General features: G+C 40.5%; 1 protein-coding gene across 2 annotated transcripts; it reads right to left on the bottom strand.

The window, feature by feature from the left end:
• On the bottom strand, positions 2,512-17,429 carry NAT2 (N-acetyltransferase 2). Of its 2 annotated transcripts, XM_017012938.2 has the most exons (3): positions 17,340-17,429; positions 16,694-16,903; positions 2,512-3,732 (listed from the first exon to the last, which is right to left on the bottom strand). In XM_017012938.2, exon 3 carries the CDS (start codon positions 3,724-3,726, stop codon positions 2,854-2,856), a length of 873 nt encoding a protein of 290 aa, XP_016868427.1. In that variant the 5' UTR covers positions 3,727-3,732; positions 16,694-16,903; positions 17,340-17,429; the 3' UTR covers positions 2,512-2,853. The 2 variants fall into 2 exon arrangements, with proteins under 2 accessions (XP_016868427.1, NP_000006.2); NM_000015.3 differs by lacking the exons at positions 16,694-16,903; positions 17,340-17,429 and adding an exon at positions 12,385-12,448.

Genomic DNA, 19,219 nt, shown 5'->3' with positions numbered 1-19,219 from the left:
CCTGGTTTCCAACATGCACTGGGGAGAAAGGAGACAAATATCCCACTAGCAGCCTGAGAAGGAGATTGTCTCTTCCCGTGCTTTCTCCCCTAACCCCAGTGATAATTGCAGGTCTATTAATCCGACCTGAAAAGAGTTTGTCCACTCTTTCCACTCTTAGGACTGCATCCTAAACCTCCCAACTCTGGGGTAGAGGGGACTAGGTGTATGCAAGTCTCTCTAGGCCACAGAAAAGGCAGTTTTATATGAGCCTGCATGCACTTCCACAGACTTCATACTATGGGAGGAGTGTGGAGAAGGAACTCTAAAAATGCAGCTCCGTGTTTCTTCCCAGAAAGGATTTATTTATGCCATACATTAGGTGCTGCAACTTTTATAGCAACCACGATTAACTGAATCCTAAATACCTTCTAGCTCAAAGAACGGAAGAAGGCACATGTGAGTCTCTCTAGATTATAGGACAAAGAGGTGGTTTTCAATGGGCATCTAAGTACTTCCAGGGGCTACATCCTCTGGGTGCAGTGCAGAAAAAATTCTGGAATGCACAGCTCCCATTTTTCCCTCCAGAAGGATTTTCCTGCACATTCTTTCCATGACTATTTGACAAGCTTGCTTCTAATACATTTGCATTGGTGAGCAAACAGTAGCCCTCCAGTAATCTGAGCCACAGCTTGGCACTTCCTGAGCCTTTCTTCCAGCTCACCCCAGTAATAAATCTAGGCCTATTCATTTACCTTGAAGGAGTTAGTTCACACACCAAGAGCCACAACTTATATAGCTCCCACCAAAGGCACTGTCTTCTTAATGAACTAGCTCTGGGAATCAGTGGGGCTTTCCATTCCTGAATGTCCCTAGGCCACAAAAAACAAATAGGTGGATATGACGTAGGCTTACTTCCAATAGGTATCTCCCTAGGATCAGAGGCTGCCGCCTGAACACCAGTATGGGTACTTGCCCCATATAATCTCCCTGGCTTTCAGCAGAGAGAGTGGCAGATAAACACACACACTCAGCTTCACCTTGAAAATAGAAGAACTGGAATATACATCCAACATCCTACCTTCCCAGTTACGTCTAGAAGGTTTGGTTTCTACCTTACTTATCTCAGAGTTCTACCAAGATATGCCACATCCTAGTCTCCAGGGGGCCACCAAAAACAGAGACATGGGTTTGGACAAACACAAACAATTAAGAGGCACCTTAAAATCTCTGGCCAAATCAATTGGTGAGATTCTTCTTCACTCATTTAGATTTCATTAGAGAAAAGGTAACATTGCATAATAAGGGCAGAAGGCTTCAACCTGGAAGCGAAATTGTGTATTTCTGAATCTCTCTGAACATATTTTTGCTTTTTCCATTATGTGCTATATATAATCAAGAACAAAACAACTGAATTAGGTTTCAGGATACTCGTTGTGCAATATAATTTACTTGATTCATTTGTATACAACTGTATCATCATACTTGAGCCACATTTTTATCTGGTTTTTTGTTTGATTGTTTTGTTTTCATTTTTGTTTTTTTGCCACCACATCCTCCTGTGATGTGATCTTGCTCAGAATGTGAGAAACTTGGGTCTGCCTAGGAGCACCAGTGGTGACCTGGCATTGCAACAAGATAGCAGGAGAGCTGAACAAGGCTAATAGGTAAGAAAGATGACAAGCTCTCAAATATTGCTATATGTCTTTCATTTGTCCTTCCCACTGAGGCCAGATCTCCTATCCACCTCTTCCTAGGATATCTACACTCACCAGTATCTCCCAACTATTACACTGCTGCCTAAAATACTGATGCTTCAATGTAATTTATTCTCCTAATGAATATTTATTCATTCTAATGTCTGCTTTTCTCTTAAGATTATTATAGTCATCACGAGTCGAAGAGGGAGAATAGTGTTAAGAACAAATCTGCAGTTTAAACTATAGCCCTGATACTGGAATTTACAAACAGAAAATCTGAGTTATGGATAAGTAAAGATTCAGATTTTGAATCACAAGGCACACTCTCAGATCCGAGACATCTGATATCCTATCAATATTTAATTAAGGAAGAAGCAGGCAGATGACAGTAGGACCAGAATTTCAAGTTACAGGAAAATAAAGCAAAATGGAAGGAGAACTTTTGGCAAATGCTGGCCCAGCAACCACAATATTAATGATGTTATTCATCCATATAACAAATAGTTTTGAAAATTTATATCTGGCAGTGAATTATATAAATATTATTTGCATTTTATCTTTGAGGAATCAGAGCCACAGATTTTAAAAGTAATTCACCCCGTGTCCACAGGATTTCAAATCAGATCTACACAATAAAGCTCATGTTCCTTCTCTTGTGGCAAAGTATGGATGGAAGTAAAAGAATGTAACTAGGAGACAAGAAAGAGGATGAGAGGAAGACTCTATTGAGGAAAAAATGCCTAGCCCCATAATATCCTAAGTCGTCTAAAGAAAAACTTTGATTCACAATATATTAGCCAACAATGTTTTCATAAACTTTAGAGACAGTGAGTTTTTCCACAATATTCTTTATTCATTTACCAGTAAAAATTTACTATGAATTCAACAATAAATCAATATTAAATGTTTTCTAGCATGAATCACTCTGCTTCCCAAGATAATCACAGGCCATCCTTAAAATGCCTTTATTTTTATTAATTTGAAAATGTGTCCTTATGTTTCTTTAAAAAGTTATTGTTTTTTAATAAATGCTGACATTTTTATGGATGAAAGTATTTGATGTTTAGGATTTTCTTCAAAATAACGTGAGGGTAGAGAGGATATCTGATAGCACATAAGTTGATAATTAGTGAGTTGGGTGATACATACACAAGGGTTTATTTTGTTCCTTATTCTAAATAGTAAGGGATCCATCACCAGGTTTGGGCACGAGATTTCTCCCCAAGGAAATCTTAAATATATTTCTCAGCACTTCTTCAACCTCTTCCTCAGTGAGAGTTTTAAACTCGACCAGATCTGTATTGTCTTTATAATTGAATTTTCTATAGGTGAGGATGAAGCCCACCAAACAGTAAACCCCTTCTGGGGTCTGCAAGGAACAAAATGATGTGGTTATAAATGAAGATGTTGGAGACGTCTGCAGGTATGTATTCATAGACTCAAAATCTTCAATTGTTCGAGGTTCAAGCGTAAATAAGTATATTTTTTGGTGTTTCTTCTTTGGCAGGAGATGAGAATTAAGAAATTCTTTGTTTGTAATATACTGCTCTCTCCTGATTTGGTCCAGGTACCAGATTCCTCTCTCTTCTGTCAAGCAGAAAATGCAAGGCACCTGAGGCTGATCCTTCCCAGAAATTAATTCTAGAGGCTGCCACATCTGGGAGGAGCTTCCAGACCCAGCATCGACAATGTAATTCCTGCCGTCAATGGTCACCTGCAGGAGAAGGTGAACCATGCCAGTGCTGTATTTGTTAACTGGAGGGATGTAAAAATACCCTCCTAACATTGTGGTCTGAAAACCGATTGTGGTCAGAGCCCAGTACAGAAGTTGATTGACCTGGAGACACCACCCACCCCGGTTTCTTCTTACAATGTGATCAAAAATAGCCTCTAAGCCCAACTCCATGGCTTGCCCACAATGCATGTTAAGGTTCTCAAAGGGAACAGCCCGGATCTGGTGCTCAAGAATGTCAGTTAATGTTTCCAAGTCCAATTTGTTCCTAGAGTTCTTATAGCCAATTCTTTCAAAATATGCTTCAATGTCCATGATCCCCTAAGCAAGAAAAACAAAACATAAAAACATATCATACTTTAGCATTTGATTTCCTCGTGTGACTAATTATAGGTATAACGTATTTTAAATACGTAAAAACACAATGGTTATAAGTATCTGTCATAGTAATTCTTTTGTTAGTATTTCTACTGCATGAATCCCTTTTACATGCATAAGTTCTCTTAGTAGTCTCAGAACCCTGTAAGGAAAGTATTATTGTATCTTCCGTCTTTTAAGCATGAGGAGTTGGAAATCCAGATTAAATAAGGAGCCAAATGGTAAACAACTTGTTTGTGGTGTTCTTGGTGATGAGTAAAAAAGAGATTCCAATTGGTATCAATTATAATAGGCTTATAAACAGTTTCTGATATAAGCAGGAGAATTATACAGTAGAGTATATGGTATTCATGGTACATGACCCACTTGATTTCCCATTTAGCTGTACCTAACACAAAGCTCCTCACTCAAAAAATATATTGATTAATTCATTCATTCACTGATTGATTCAAGAAATAGTTTACAGAATACTCTTGATGTGTTTCCTATTGTTCTAGTACTTGCTTGCCCTCAAAAATATTATATTTTAATGGGAGTTGAAGGGACACAAATAGGAAACTGAATAAATGGATAAAACATGCAGTCTGTTAGATTGTGGTAAGTGCCTGGTGAAAACAAAAAGAGGGGTTAGTGGGTGCACAGGGAGAGCACTGAATTCAAACAAGGTGGTTAAAGAAAGGCTCACTAAGACTTTAAGGATGCTAGAGAATAAGTTCTGTGGATATGTGTGAGGAGGATTGTTCCATGCAGTGGAACAGAAAGTACCAGGATCCTTAGCTGGAACCTGTCCCAAGTGTTGAGGAAACATCCAGGAAGCCAGGGTGACTGGAGCACAGTCAGTGAGAAGGGGAATGGATTGAGATGATATCTGACAACTAACAGTGGCCTTGGAGCCAATGCTTATATTTTGGCTTCTATTCTAAACGAGATGAGAAATCAAAGTGAGACAGGATGAGAGAAGGGTTATAAGCGGAACAGTGTTCGCCTAATCAAAGTGATCTGTCTAGCTACTGTGTGGACAATAGGCTGCCCATATTGAGCTCTATGGGCTGTCACATAAACTATGTAGGACCACTTCAAACACAACAGCTCTAGGACCAAAGCTTGGCTGATGGGTGGCATGTGACCTAAGTAGATCATTGAAACTCTATTGAGGCATTTTTGCTGAAATCTAAGCACATGTATTATGCTGCAAGGCTAGAAGCTGGGAGGATATCAACCCAAAGCTACTGGGGAGAACCCACTGAAGAACAATACTAACAAAGAATTTACTAGTAACTTGAGCAGGGGAATACGTGACTCTTAGTACCAGCATAGGAAGTTTCATGGTTTCGTCGAAGACTTTAAATACACGTTGTAGCTCAGAAGACAGTGCCCCAAGGTAAAAGCTTCAGAAGTCAGTTTTTCTTTGGCCTTCTCCTGGCCTCCTATCTCTCAGTCCCAATATCCCTCAAAGCTGGCCAAACAAACTAGAATCTCTTTCCCCAAGGCAGAACCTAGAAATCAGAACTCCTTTTTCTCAAAACCAGCCACAAAGTCTAAAAATATTACTCTAATTTGCCCTCTCCCTTTCTGTGTATGAATTAGCCATAAAGAAATTATCCAACTTACCTTGTTGGATTGTAGGTCATAAGATCCCTATACCCAGAAGGAAGGAGTACATGCTCAGAGAGGTCAAGAGGAATCTAGACAGACAGGTCTTGCTGGGTTTCCCCAGTCCATTGGCATTAGGTTATGCCTTTTGCCTCAATCATATTTTTATATGTGCCCATACCTTGTCGCACCTAAGCATAAAAAGGACAATTTCCCCTGTGTGTTGGGGTCTTTATTCTGAAGACTCCAGCATACACACTCCAAACAAATCTGCATGCCTTCTCTTCAACTGATCTATCTTTTGTGAGTTGATTTTTCAGTAATCCTTCAGAGGGTTTCTGGCCCTTACTCATAGGAGGAAAAGCCAACAGCACAGAATTAAGTGATAATGGAAGAAAACATTGCTTTTTTTGAAGCTTTAAGACGAAACACTTCAGCATCAGGCTATAGCAACAGATTTAGACCTGAAGAAAAAAAAAATTTGCCAGAGCCAACAAAAAGTTGAAAGAGAGAGTTAAGATCTCAGCTATTCTCAAATGAAGAAAAGGCTAAAAGCAGCAGGATACACCAGAAGTTGAACTTCTGAGATATCTGAGAAGTTTCAAAAAGAAAAAAATAGCATTAAACATTAAAACTTCTTGGAATTTAATGAAGAGCAAATCAATACTTTAAGAAACCCTTATTGCTCTAACCAATGTTTTGGTTTTGTATTGTGGTTTTTTTGGTCAAAGCTCAGTTTCCAGAAAGACGACTATAAATAATTCAATTTTAATTAAAGCCAACATAACCACAAACAAAATTTCTTTTATGAATTTGATTATACACATGCCACTTCCAACATGATTGGACTTTCCATTGTATCCTAAATTTCCCTCTTTCTTAGATTACCAGTCATCTTACTTCAGAAAAAAATATAAAATTATTTATCATACAAAATAATTCTCTTTTCTTTTTAATCTCTCTTATCACAAATACATCTTTATATCTATAACTTTCTTTACATCTCTTTCCCCTATTTACTGGTTCCTTTTTACTTTGTTTCATAAATAACCTTTGAATTAGACAAAAGTGATTTTCTTTTTAATGAGAATACATTTTTCTATTTGTCTTATATTATTTTCTTTTTTCATCAAAAACATGTCTTTGACAGACTTTATAAACAGAATTATATATTAAGTGGAATTTTTATTTTTAGTGACCTTAAACCTAGGAAACATGAAATCCTAAACTGCATATCAGGTATCAGTACTTTATAGATGAAATCACTCTATAATTTTTAGGCATGTTTCTCCATATCTCTACTTAATTGGAAATGAGCCAAACTATTAATGAGTAGCTGTTCTTTAATCCAAAATAAGTTTAAGATTTTAAATTACATAAAAGTTAACCAACAAGCATTTATCCATCCCACTTATATTTGTTCAATTTATTCATTGTTAGCAGTTTACCTAGATTGCTTTGAGAACTGAGACATTAGACAAAACTAGTCACATTTAAAGTTATTTCCTTGCTAACTATTTTATAGCCTGTGAATATCAGGTGTTCACCCAAGTATAAACCTTAATGTTAAACGTATTTTTTTACAGATAGCTCAGGATTTAGCTGTTTTTATGAAACGAATATTAAGCTAGTCTTATTTATTTAAAAAATTACAGGCTGGGTGCATTGGTTCATGCCTGTCATCCCAGCACTTTGGGAAGCCAAGGTGGGCAGATCACGAGGTCAGGGGTTCGAGACCATCCTGACCAACGTGGTGAAACCCCGTCTCTACTAAAAATACAAAAATTAGGCGGGTGTGGTCATGCACAGCTGTAATCCCAGCTACTCAGGAGGCTGAGGCAGGAGAATCACTTGAACCCTGGAGGCAGGCACTCCAGCCTGGCTGACAGAGTGAGATTCGGTCTCAAAAGAACAAAAAAAAATTTTTTAGATTTTAAAGATTGTTTTAAGTTAAAAATGTGGACAAAACTAAAGGTTTATGAAAGATTGATCATTGATCTTGTAAAAGGAATTCTATATATAAGCCAGCTGGCTAAAATTTGAAAGGGATTATTTAGTTTTTGCATAAATTAAACCTTAAAATAAAAAGCATACTAATTCAGGGCCAGAATCTAGGCCCTTATGTCAAAATATCAGGGTTTTATTAGAATACTAATCTGCTCTTTTATGGAAAATTATAAAATGTTGTAAAAGATTTATAAAAATCTCTACCTTGTGTTACAACTAATTAAATAGATTTGTTTGTAAGATTTTATTAATGCTAACTTTAGCATTAATAATAAGCTATGCAATGGTAAAATTTAGATTTCCTTTGAATAAGATTTTCTTTTAATATTAAGAGATAGTGAAAGATTTTTGCTTACCTTTTGAGAAAACTGCAAAAAAAAAAAAAAAAAGATGGGTTGGGGAAGAGAGACAAATTTAGTTGGCCTCATGCTGTCTTTATTAGGTCTTATTGTTTGTGAAAGTGAGTCCTCTCTCTCAAAGAGTGAAGGTTTTTACTTTTTGAAATCTTTGAGTTATCACTTTGCCTAAATGAATGACTTATTTACAATGACCTGTTTGGTGATTGTAATTTGTTTTTCCACCACAATATCTGTCTCTATCTAAATACCCGTAACCCAAATCTCTCCAAAGCTATTACCTTGGCTTTTAATATATGAAACTTGTTTTAAGTTTCAAAGTGGGGACTGAAGAAAATCAAACTTTCCAAAATCAAATTCTAAATTCAGTCTTGTTGACCTCATTATCTTTTTTGATATTAAGTCCCCTGAAGCCAAAAACAGACATATTCGGTGTATTTGGCATGTTAAAATCATATAGGAAACATTGTCAAATATGAAATGGTGTTCAACTTTATTTGTTCTACATTTATATTAAACCTGTTACTAGTATGTTTTTCAACATTGCGTGATATTCCTATCATTCTGATGTCTTTATATATGTTATTAGTATTTATAATTATTATGTTAAATTGTTATATGCCACAGAAATAACCAAATTTCCTTGTTAAGTGTGTCCTTGACCATGGCTGTCCTAAGACTTCTGTCATTGACAGTTGTTCTACTTTGGTGCTTTTAAAAAGGTGGTTTGCAATTAGCTATAGGACTCTAAGGGGTGCTTTTGAATGAAGCTTTATGATAACTTTGGAGATTGTGCCACTGGTATAGAGAAAAAAAACTCCCAGGACTCTCATGGAGAACTAATATGTTCATGAAGATTGCTCACCCAATATCTAACAGAATAGGAGTTAATTGCATGGACTGAAATAATAGAAGACTGAAATAATCTTTTTATGGGTTTTGTTGAAACATTGCCACTTTTGTTTTTCAGAGTCAAAATTTTTTTCTTTTTAGACATTTACAGCTTTTAATATTTGTGTAAAGTATACTCTTGTGAGCAAAATTTGAAGCATATTTCCCTCTATCTGCCTGATTTCTCTGAAATTTGGAAACTCTTAGTGATTATTGCTAATTTATGGGAATATAATTATTTGCATAAATTCAGTTAGAATCTGTTTTGTTTTGTAACAGGCCACAAGTGGAGACAAAAATCAAGGATTTGACTGGAATGCCCTATTTTTAAGAAATTGATATTGGGACTTTATAAAGCTGATAATAGCCCTGTGGATAAAACTGGCCTCACAGCTTGTCTATGCAGTTCCTTTACAGGTTCCTTTACAGGTTTCTGGCCTGTAATGGGTAAAAGAAGGTCACATTCTGACAGGCCCAGGAACCCCAACTTATTTTGGGACCTTGAGAGAGAATTCACTTAATTCATACAGGTATCTCGTAGAAACAGATAAATCCTTGGTTGGGCTCAGGATGCTTTTAAGAGGTCTAATATGAGATTCTTTACAAAAAAGAATGTTCCAGCAAAGCCATTTTTTAAAAAGGAGCCTATATAGTAAATAATTATTCTTGCTGCCCTTTATGCAAAAAATCAGACCAAGTATAGTAACAAAACTTATTTTGCAAATAAATCAGTTCTACTGTGTGTCAGGCCTCTGAGCCTAAGCTAAGCCATCATATCCCGTGACCTGCATGTACACATCCAGATGGCCGGTTCCTGCCTTACTGATGACATTCCACCACAAAAGATGGGAAAATGGCCTGTTCCTGCCTTAACTGATGACACTGTCTTGTGAAATTCCTTCTCCTGGCTCATCCTGGCTCAATAGCTCCCCTACTGAGCACCTTGTGACCCCCACTCTGCCTGCCAGAGAACAACCCCCCTTTGACTGTACTTTTCTTTTATCTATCCAAATCCTATAAAATGGCCCCACCCTTATCTCCCTTCACTGACTCTCTTTTAGGACTCAGCCCGCCTGCACCCAGGTGAAATAAACAGCCATGTTGCTCACACAGAGTCTGTTTGGTGGTCTCTTCACACGGATGTGCATGAAACTATGTCTTTCATAAAATTGAAGAACTGGAAGCAGAAATACTATGTTTCAAAAACTATAGTGTATCTGTTAGTATCTTCTAGCCTTGCCCATTGTTTTTTCAGTTTTTATTATTTTTTACAAGTTAGACCAAATCCTGAATTTTTTTCTGGCTACAAGTCTGCAAAGTAACATTTTCAACGTTTTCTCCCATTTTTCTTACTTGAATTCACTAGAAATTAAAACTGGGGTTTTCTTAAAGTCTTGCAAACTGAAGGTATCAGGAGAAAATAACAGTAACTTATAAACAACCTTCATGCATATCTGCTGATGTGAGGCCTTCTCAGAAAGTTCAGTGGAACACCTGGTTTGAACTTCCAGGGAAATCTGGGACATTGCCACTGCAATATGAAGACGCCTCAGAGAAAAAGCTATAGACTAGCTTTTCTAGATATATAGACTACTCCAGATAGTAACATTTATTTATTTATTTTTTTCTGTTTCTACAGAAATGCCTCCTACTAGAAATCTGATTGCCTACATTACGTCTAAAGGCCTAAACCATTTGCAGTCCCACCTCCTGGAATGGGACGTAGATATTTAACTGAACTGATCTCACCTCAAAACCAAGGGACTGCCTAAAGAAAATATGGAATGATATATTTAAATTTGCTCATTTATATTTATCCCAAATGTGTTTTTCCACTGCTATGACTGTCTCTATCTAAACACCTCTAACTTAAATCTCCCCAAAGCTATTACCTTGGCTTTTAGTATGTGAAACTTGTTTTAAATTTCAAAGTGGGGACTGAAGAAAATCAAAATATTTTACCCTCAAATATATTTCTTTGACATATTTAAAAATGGTTTCCACTGGCCAACAAGCAGAAGTGGCATTGCAAAACTGTCTTAACTGAGGAAAATTTGCGTCTGTGGACAATGTCCATTAATGCAGCCATACCCTCTCCTGTTTCTAAGCCTTTCCCAGGATCCAGAGCGATTGAGAGTCTGACACCTTTAAAGATCTGGATAGAAACATTTACCATCTTTTGCTTCTGAGAAAAGGTTCGTCTACATAACAAGGCCACCTTTGCTAGCCGAGCTTCTTCCTTCCTCTCTCTCTTAACCTGTGTTGCCACTAAAACTAATTTACCTGTTTCTGGCCATGCTTTGAGTCTCCACTCTTTACTGTGGCCTCGGAATAATACATGAGTTTCTGTAACTTACTGGGAAGTTGGGTCTTCATTCTCAAGTTTCCCAAGTGTGGTGGTTAATATTGAGTGTCAACTTGATTGGATTGAAGGATTCAAAGTATTGTTCCTGGGTGTGTCTGTGAGGGTGTTGCCAAAGGAAATTAACATTTGAATCAGTGGACTGAGAAAGGGAGGCCCACCCTCAATCCGGGTGGGCACCATCTAATCAGCTGCCAGCACAGCCAGAATGAAAGTAGGCAGAAGAATGTGGAAAGACTAGACTGGCTTAGTCTCCCAGCCTACATCTTTCTCCTGTGCTGGATGCTTCCTGCCCTCAAACATCAAACTCCAAGTTCTTCAGCCTTTGGACTCCTGGACCTTTGACCACAGACTGAAGGCTGCACTGTCGGCTTCCCTACTTTTGAGGTTTTGGGACTCGGACTGGCTTCCTTGCTCCTCAGCTTGCAGACGGCCTACTGTGGGACGTCACCTTGTGATCATGTGACTCACTACTCCTTAATAAACTCCCCTTTATGTATACATCTATCCTATTAGTTCTGGCCCTCTAAAGGGTCCTGGCTAATAGACCATGTATATACATTAAATAAATTTGTACTCCCTTTCCCCTATTAATCAACCTGTCACATGACAGTGACTTTTAGTGAAGCTTTAGGGGGCCAACAGCCTATGGCCCCCACATAAGGTATACATTGGCTCTGCCTGAAAATCAGACATATTGAAGTAGGAGAGCTTACAGGACAAAGGTGGATTCAAAGATTTTGTGATTGGCAATTTGTTGAAGAGTTAAGTTTTGTCTAAAGACTTGCGGTCAGTACAATTAAATGCTTGAGTTAAAAGGGCTTATGGGAACCATGGTTTATGTCATGTAGATGAAACCTCCAGCTAGCAGCCTTAGAGAAAACAGATGGTAAATATCTCTTTTCAGATTTTTAAGGTGTCAGACTCTCATTTATTCTCTCCTCAATCAGAGCAGAGCCAGAAACCAGCAAATTTCCCCATAAAAGATGGTTTTGCAAGACCATTTCAATATGTGTCAAAGAAATATATTTTGGGGATTAAATATATTGATTTCCTTCAGGGTCTGCTATTGTCATGTGATGCTAAACCAGAGTCAGATTGGAATTTGGTATCTTATTCCCACAAACAGTCCATTTTGACAGTCTTATGATCACTGTTTCAATGTTAATGCTGGTCAGTTGTGCCTGAACTCCAAAAGGGAGTGTGTATAATGAGGCGTGTCTGACCTCCCTTTCCATTATGGCCTGGAATTTAGTTTTCCAGGTTTCTCTGGGGTCGCCTAGGACAAGAGGGGATCCATTCAGTCAGTAGGGGGACTTGATTTTATTTTTAATTTATACCCCACTTTCAAAGTACACTGCAAATTACTTACAAAGTTCTACTTACTTTGGCCAGCAACCAGGAACTAGGCTGAATGCAATCCTCTTGCTTCCAAGGTCTGTAATAAAGTGCTCTCCCTTCCAAAGTCTGCAAGGGAAGTGATCTCACTGGAATTCCGTATCACCCTGACACCAGAGTCTAGTTAGGATCACCTCAGGGATCTCTGGGAAATGTAGTTGCAGGGCCTCAGGTTGCCTCTGTGAATCTCTTACGCAAATCTTTTTGTTAAAAATGGTGTGGATAATTATATTATCTGATGATACCCATGCCACAGGCTAGGAGAGCTGTGCCCTTGTATTTCACCTAGTTCTTGCTCTCTGGAAGTCTGATGCCAGACTTCCCATGTGTGATATAGAAGGTGAGAGCTTGAAACAGGTCAAGGAACAGCAGAACCAATAACTTAGAAGCGGCAGAAGAGGAAGATGAAAGGTTTTAGTCATACTCTCAGTTTATGGCACACTTTCATCACTTCCTATAAGGCCTCTCTTTTTCTTCTGCCTCTTTTCATCTCTCATCCTCACTCTCATTCACTTCTCTACCCAAAGGTAACACACAATGTGTCTGAAATAACTCTATGCATGTGGTATAAGTGTCACATGTATCATATGGCTTTGTTTCTGCTTTTTTGACATTAACATTAATGTAAATTTTTATTTCTCCTAGCCTGTGGCATGGGTATCATCAGATAATATAATTATCCACACCATATTTAATGAAAAGATTTGTGTAAATTTTTATTTACATTAATATTAATATAAAATATAAACATTGTATATAATGTTTTTTGACACATAACAATTGTATATATTTATTTGGTAGTGTGTGATGTTCTGATACATGCAGACATTGTGTAAAGATCAAATCATGGTAATTAGCATGTCTGTCACCTCAAACATTTATCATCTCTTTGTCATGAGAACATTCAAAATCCTTCCTTCTAGCTTTTTTTCTAGCTTCCATACCCTCTTTTCTCTCCAGTAACAACTCTTAACTTTCTACTACTCTAACTATTCTACTCTTAACTTCTATGAGCTAAATTACTTTTAGATTCCACATATGAGTGAGATGTGCAGTTTTCATGATGTAATTGTTGCCTTTAGCACCTACTGTTCCAGTACATACCTCTGGCATGCTGCCACATGAACTCGGGACTCTGTGGGAAGGCTTTCTTTTGGCCTGTGCTTGGGCAGATGGACTACAAATTAAAGCACCTGGGACCACCACTCAGCCCACATGATGGGAACTGGAGACTAAATATCCTTGTGTTCTACATGCTAAGGTGGGATTACTCTTAGGCATGTACAAAACTGCCTCCTGGTGTTGTCTACTGGGATTATGCTCCCTTTCTTTGCAGGCAGCCTGCCAACAATGCACCTTTTTATTGATCTCAAGGTGTCTTGGGTTCACTGTTATACTCCCGCACTGGTGATTCCTTAAATCATCTCCTAAATCAAAATAAGCCACTGGAATACAAATCTTTGTCTTGTGGCCTGGTTTTAGAGAAACCCAACCTAAGTCTCTTTAACTTACCAGTTCCACTTGTGAAGGACATTTGATTGCCTCCTACTCCTGGTTATTATAAACACTGATGTGATGAATGCGTTTCTAGACATCCTCTGCAGATTAGCAGAACTCGCTGGGATATATGTATTAGGAATGGGATCTGCGGAGGGGCAGATCATAGATGTACTTTTTCTTTTGGCACTGCCAGATTTCTGTCCTCTTGTATAGAAGAATTCCTACTTTCCTCATATCCTGATTGACATTTGGTGTTAGCCACCTTCAAATGTTTGACAGTTTTGTGTATCTAAGATGATAGCTCAGTGTTCTTTTCATTTTCACTTCTCTGATTCCCAGTGAATACGGGTGAATAGGTTCTTCACATACCTATTGACCCTTCACATTTCCATTTGTGAATTAAATGGCAAGGTTTTAAGAAAGAATTCCTTCTGCCAAATTAGTCGGGACACACAGGCGAAGAGAGATGGATTAAAATTCAGATCTTGCTAGAAAATCTTTGGCCAAGGTGGGGTGAGAGAGAAGCAGAGGAAATAATTCCAGCATGTAGGACTGTGATCTGGACCATTTTTGACTGAGTGTGGGAGAGGAATTGTCAATGGATTATGGTCATTTTTCTCCTTGATTGTTGGAAACCTGACACCTGGAATTAAAATGTTGCAATCCAGATTGGCACATGTGTAATTCTGAGATTGCCTCTAATTATTGTCAGTTTGACAGAGATCCTTGAGGATGTCCAGCAAGAACCGTCATGGGAAACTATGAGATGAGGAGACTTGTGACTAAGGGAGAGTAAGACCAGAGTCAAGGATCCTGGTGTCCAAGGGAAGAAACACCTGAGGCTGGGAGTGTGAGATGTCAGAGAGCTTGAGAATACCCTACAGCCTCCCACAGGGTGGTCATCAAGACCTTCAAACCAAAATTTGACTTCATCAAAGTTTTTTATGTGGAAGAAGAGCAGAATTGGGGAATACCTGAGCTGTCACTGAGTACTTCCTCACCATACAAGTAAGAGATACAGAGATGGGCTGGGCAACAACAGTGATACCATAAAGAAAAGCTCCTTCTTCACTGTGACTTATACACGTAGAAAGCATGTTGTTTGTGTCTTTAAAGAAAAGCATTAGAGTTAGTTATGTCTAGTTTACAGATTCTCACATGTGCTAACTCACTTTTATGTCAAGATTCTAAAGTTTGATAATTGACTGTTTCCTTGCTAACAACAAAACTTATATTTTTGCAGAGAAAGAAATAAATGTTCTTCCTTTCCTGATCTTCTCTGAAGAAGGGTTCTATATCCAAGCTAATTTTTTTTTTTTTTTTTTTTTTGCTTATTATCTACTTTAACATTTAGCATAACTTCTGGTTTTCACTTCAACAAGTAAAGTTTGGGATAATCCCTCCCATCTTCTCATCAATGAGAAAACTAAACAAACTGAAAATAAATCTTCTCAGATCCATGACAGAATTGAAGTCACAGCAAAGTGCTGTCCTGAAAAGAGACAGACAGTTAAAGACAGATAATCACAATTTATTCTCAATTCTAGAAACTAAAGCCCAGGTTCAGAGGACCACAGATGAAGCCAGTATTTTTAGCAACATACAAACATGTAATAATTCATGAATTGTTGAGACTCAGTGTAGACAAACTTGACAGTTTAAAACTCTTGGGTGCTCAGTCTCAGAAGGTCTTCACACTTTTGTGTTTTACCTCCAGGATGCCCACCAAGTTCTCACTGTGAATACTGGAGAATAGTCTCTTCATGCTCCTGGCAGAAGGTGGAGAAAAATAACCATTGTGATATAAGTCCAGAGCATTCTGGTCCTCCTTCCCTTAAGGGAAATTACAAGGGCCTAACTGAAGTGAGGTAAGAGAAACATTCAACTCCAACCCTTCTAGCATTCCTGTCTCAGACCTAAGTGGAGGGGAGGGGGGAATGGATGCTGAGAAGCACTTTCGAAAGTCACGTCCCAGGGCAAACGCTCACTAGAAGATAGCGACCTCATCAAAGGCCTGTACAATGGTTCTCTTTCCCCCATACATTAAAACCACTGCGACTGCAGGAGGAAATACAGGAGGCCCGGGGCCAGGACAATGCTAAGGAGCTGAGGCCAAGCGCTTTGGAGAAAAGGCGACGAGAGAAGGAGCGGGACCGGAAGAGGAAGCGAAAGAGCTGCGGCAAAAAGGGAAGGGAGCAAAGGCCAAGGCCGAGAGGGCCGAGGGCCGGGGCGGCGATCAAGCCCACCCAGAGGTGGCCTGCAAGGAGCCGCAGGAGCCGTCGGGGCTGGTCGTCCACAAGGTGGAGGTGAATGAGCACGAGCCGGCCAGCAAGGCGCAAAGAGGAGGAACAGGCAGGAGCTGAAGGGGAGCCTCGCGCAGCGGAAAGGGAGGAAGTCCGGGCGCTGCTGAACTCCGGGGCCGGGACCAGCGGAAGGCACGAGAGCTGGAGGCCAACGTGAAGGGGCCGCGGACAGACCTGCCGAACCAGGCGGAGGGCGCGACAATCCGGAACGCCTAGCGCCTGCCCTAGGGGCTTGAGGCGCAGGGAGAAGCGCGGGAGCGGCGGCGGCGGCGCCGCCAGCGGGAGGAGCGCGGGGCGGACGAGGTGGAGAAGAAGCGGCGGCGCCAAAACCTAAGCAGGAAGAAGGCGGCCAGCTCCCCGCGCTCCCTGCACTGGGCCCGCAAGGGGACGATCCCGTCCAGGACCTGGAGCGCGCCGGCCTCGTGGGGGCGCCCGAGGGCTCCCCCCTTCCCCCACCCCAGGCCCAGCGTGTCCCTGGCCTGGGCCTTTCCCACCTGGGGCTGCCGTCTCTGTCCCGCGAGTCTCGAGGAGCCCCTCCGAGTCCTTGTGTGATGCCGGCTCCTCACTCAACCTCCGTGGAACTCGGCTTCTCCATGTGAAAGGGACACAGTCTTGCTCACCTGAGTTGTGAGGCCTCAGATCAGGCACGCAGAAAAGAATGTTTCAGCGTCGTCCTTGAACACAGGGCGCAGATCCTTCAGACCCTAGGGAAAGAGTGAACCAGATCCGGCCCTCCAGTCTTCTCTGTGAGGCCTGAGAGCTTCCCAGAGGTTTGCAGAGTCAGAGAAGAGGAACCTTGGTACGGGTGGGTGGGAGGAGTTTGGGGTGAGACAATCACTGGCCCTTCTTCCCCTGCCCGTGTTCACAGGGGCCATAGGACAGGAAGAGAATGTCCTTTGCCAATTATCCGCCTTAGTCCAAAACTCACTGGAAGGGAGGACAACCCCGGGGTGGGGTGTATGGGCACCTGGCACTCGGGAGAAGCTGGAGCCCATCCAGGCACCGTGTGTCCGGGACAGAACACCATGGTCTTCTCTGCTCTCTTGGCTTCTGCCTGTTTGAGTCTCATTCTTTTATCTGCCTTAGTAGCCCGGGCCGCATTCCGCAGCTCAAAATTCAAAGGGTGGAAGGGAGCTGTACCTTTCCAGATCATGGATGTAAGTTGGGCCACATGGCCACCTCTGAACCAGTTGCTGGCTCCAGTTGTGGGGCAGTGACTGACATGCCTCACTACCCTCCTGGAGTCAGAAAGTAAAAGTTTCCTGGCAGAGGGTGGAGCTGAGTGGGGGTAGAGGGAAGTTTGCTGTTACCTAATGAGAGGGATAGGGGTGAGGACAGACAGCAGATGTCAGATGGCTTCTGTCCCAGGTGAGTGCTTTGTTGCAGAAGTGGTCCAGTGTGGCTGGTGTTTTCTAAGTGTCTTGGAGTGAGGAAATCACACTTACTGAGCAGCTATTCAGACAAGAGGCCCCTCACTCCTTAAAAATTTGATAAAATGGGAAATTTTCCCAGGGTACACAATTTAAAACAGGTTTCTAATTGGCATTGTAGCATGCTAGATGTTCTCAAAAGTCTCTCTGGTGTGGCTGAACTGAAAATGCTTGATAGAATTTATTTTTTTAACGAATGACTGGGTTGGTGGGAAATGAAGAGATGTCTGGGCTGAGATTTTCCCCGCTTGATGAAAGAGAACAACAGTCTTGAGATTTGGGAAACCTGTGGCAGCCATGGAGGTGCACCTCTTGATCTTTTTTGAGAAATAACTGGCCATTCAGCTGCAAGGAGTGTAGATTGTTGACAGTCCAGACCATTGCCTTCTGCATCTGCTTCAGCCATTGAGCTAAGGACATGCACTGTGTGGGTGGCCTCCACCCAGTGACTAAGCACTCCTTTAATAGGCAGACTGCTCCACGGTTCCCCGTGAGTTATTTGAGACTGTTCACTCTGCATCGTGGTGTGAGGCTCTCCCGGTACCATTCTGCTTTCGGCCCTTGTCTTTCACAGGTGTTAGCCCTTGATAGCCCTTTTACACTCATCACTTAGTCTCTGAATCTGTTTGCTGGAGGAATGAAAGTGACACGGCTTCCAACAACTTCCAAGTAAATTTTAAACACACACCCTGGGGTATCTGCACATCACTGTAGAACATAAAAACCGGATCCAATAATCTTACAATCCTTAGCCAGAGAAGAAAAACAGGTGCCCTGAGAAGGAAGACAGATTGACAGCTGATTTCTCAACAGCAACAATGAAAGCTGGAAATATGAAAATTGCTGAGGAAACAAGAAGTCTAGAATTCAACACCCCTGTAAATATTTTTCACTTTGAGTGTCAGTTGTTCATTATTTTTGCTTGCTGAAAAATCCCTTCATGTCATCCTATCTCTTAAGAAAATGAAACTTAAGAAGGAAGATGATCTTACAAAGAAATGAGGAGCACAGATAAGGGGGATGTTTTGAATCTAAGCATGCCCATTGCATGAAACTGGTCTTCATTTTGGTAGCCAGCAGCCATCAGTGGCTATTTAAATTAAATAAAATTGGCTGGGCACGGTGGCTCATGCCTGTAATCCCAACACTTTGGGAGGCCAAGGCAGGCAGATCAACTTGAAGTCGGGAGTTTGAGACCAGCCTGGCCAACATGGTGAAACCCTTCTCCACTAAAAATACAAAAATCAGCTGGGTGTGGTGGCAGCCGCCTGTAATCCCAGCTAATTGGGGGGCTGAGGCAGGAGAATCACAAACCTGAGAGGCAGAGGCTGCAGTGAGCCAAGATCACACCACTGCACTCCAGCCACGGCAAGAGAGCAAAACTCCATCTCAAAATAAATAAATAATGTATCACTTAATAAATTGAATTAATTAAGTACTCAGTTCTTGGGTTGTATTAGCCACATTTTAAGTGCTCAGTAGCCCTAGTGATTAACATATTGGATAGCACAGATACAGAACATTTATATATCAAAGAAGGTTATTGGTCAATGCAGGTATAAAACAATGTTTTGTAATTTGTAGGCTTAA

This window comes from Homo sapiens, chromosome 8 (assembly GCF_000001405.40).
Source record: "Homo sapiens chromosome 8, GRCh38.p14 Primary Assembly".
NCBI classification, from domain to species: domain Eukaryota; kingdom Metazoa; phylum Chordata; class Mammalia; order Primates; family Hominidae; genus Homo; species Homo sapiens.
This window is presented reverse-complemented; position numbering and strand designations above follow the sequence as displayed.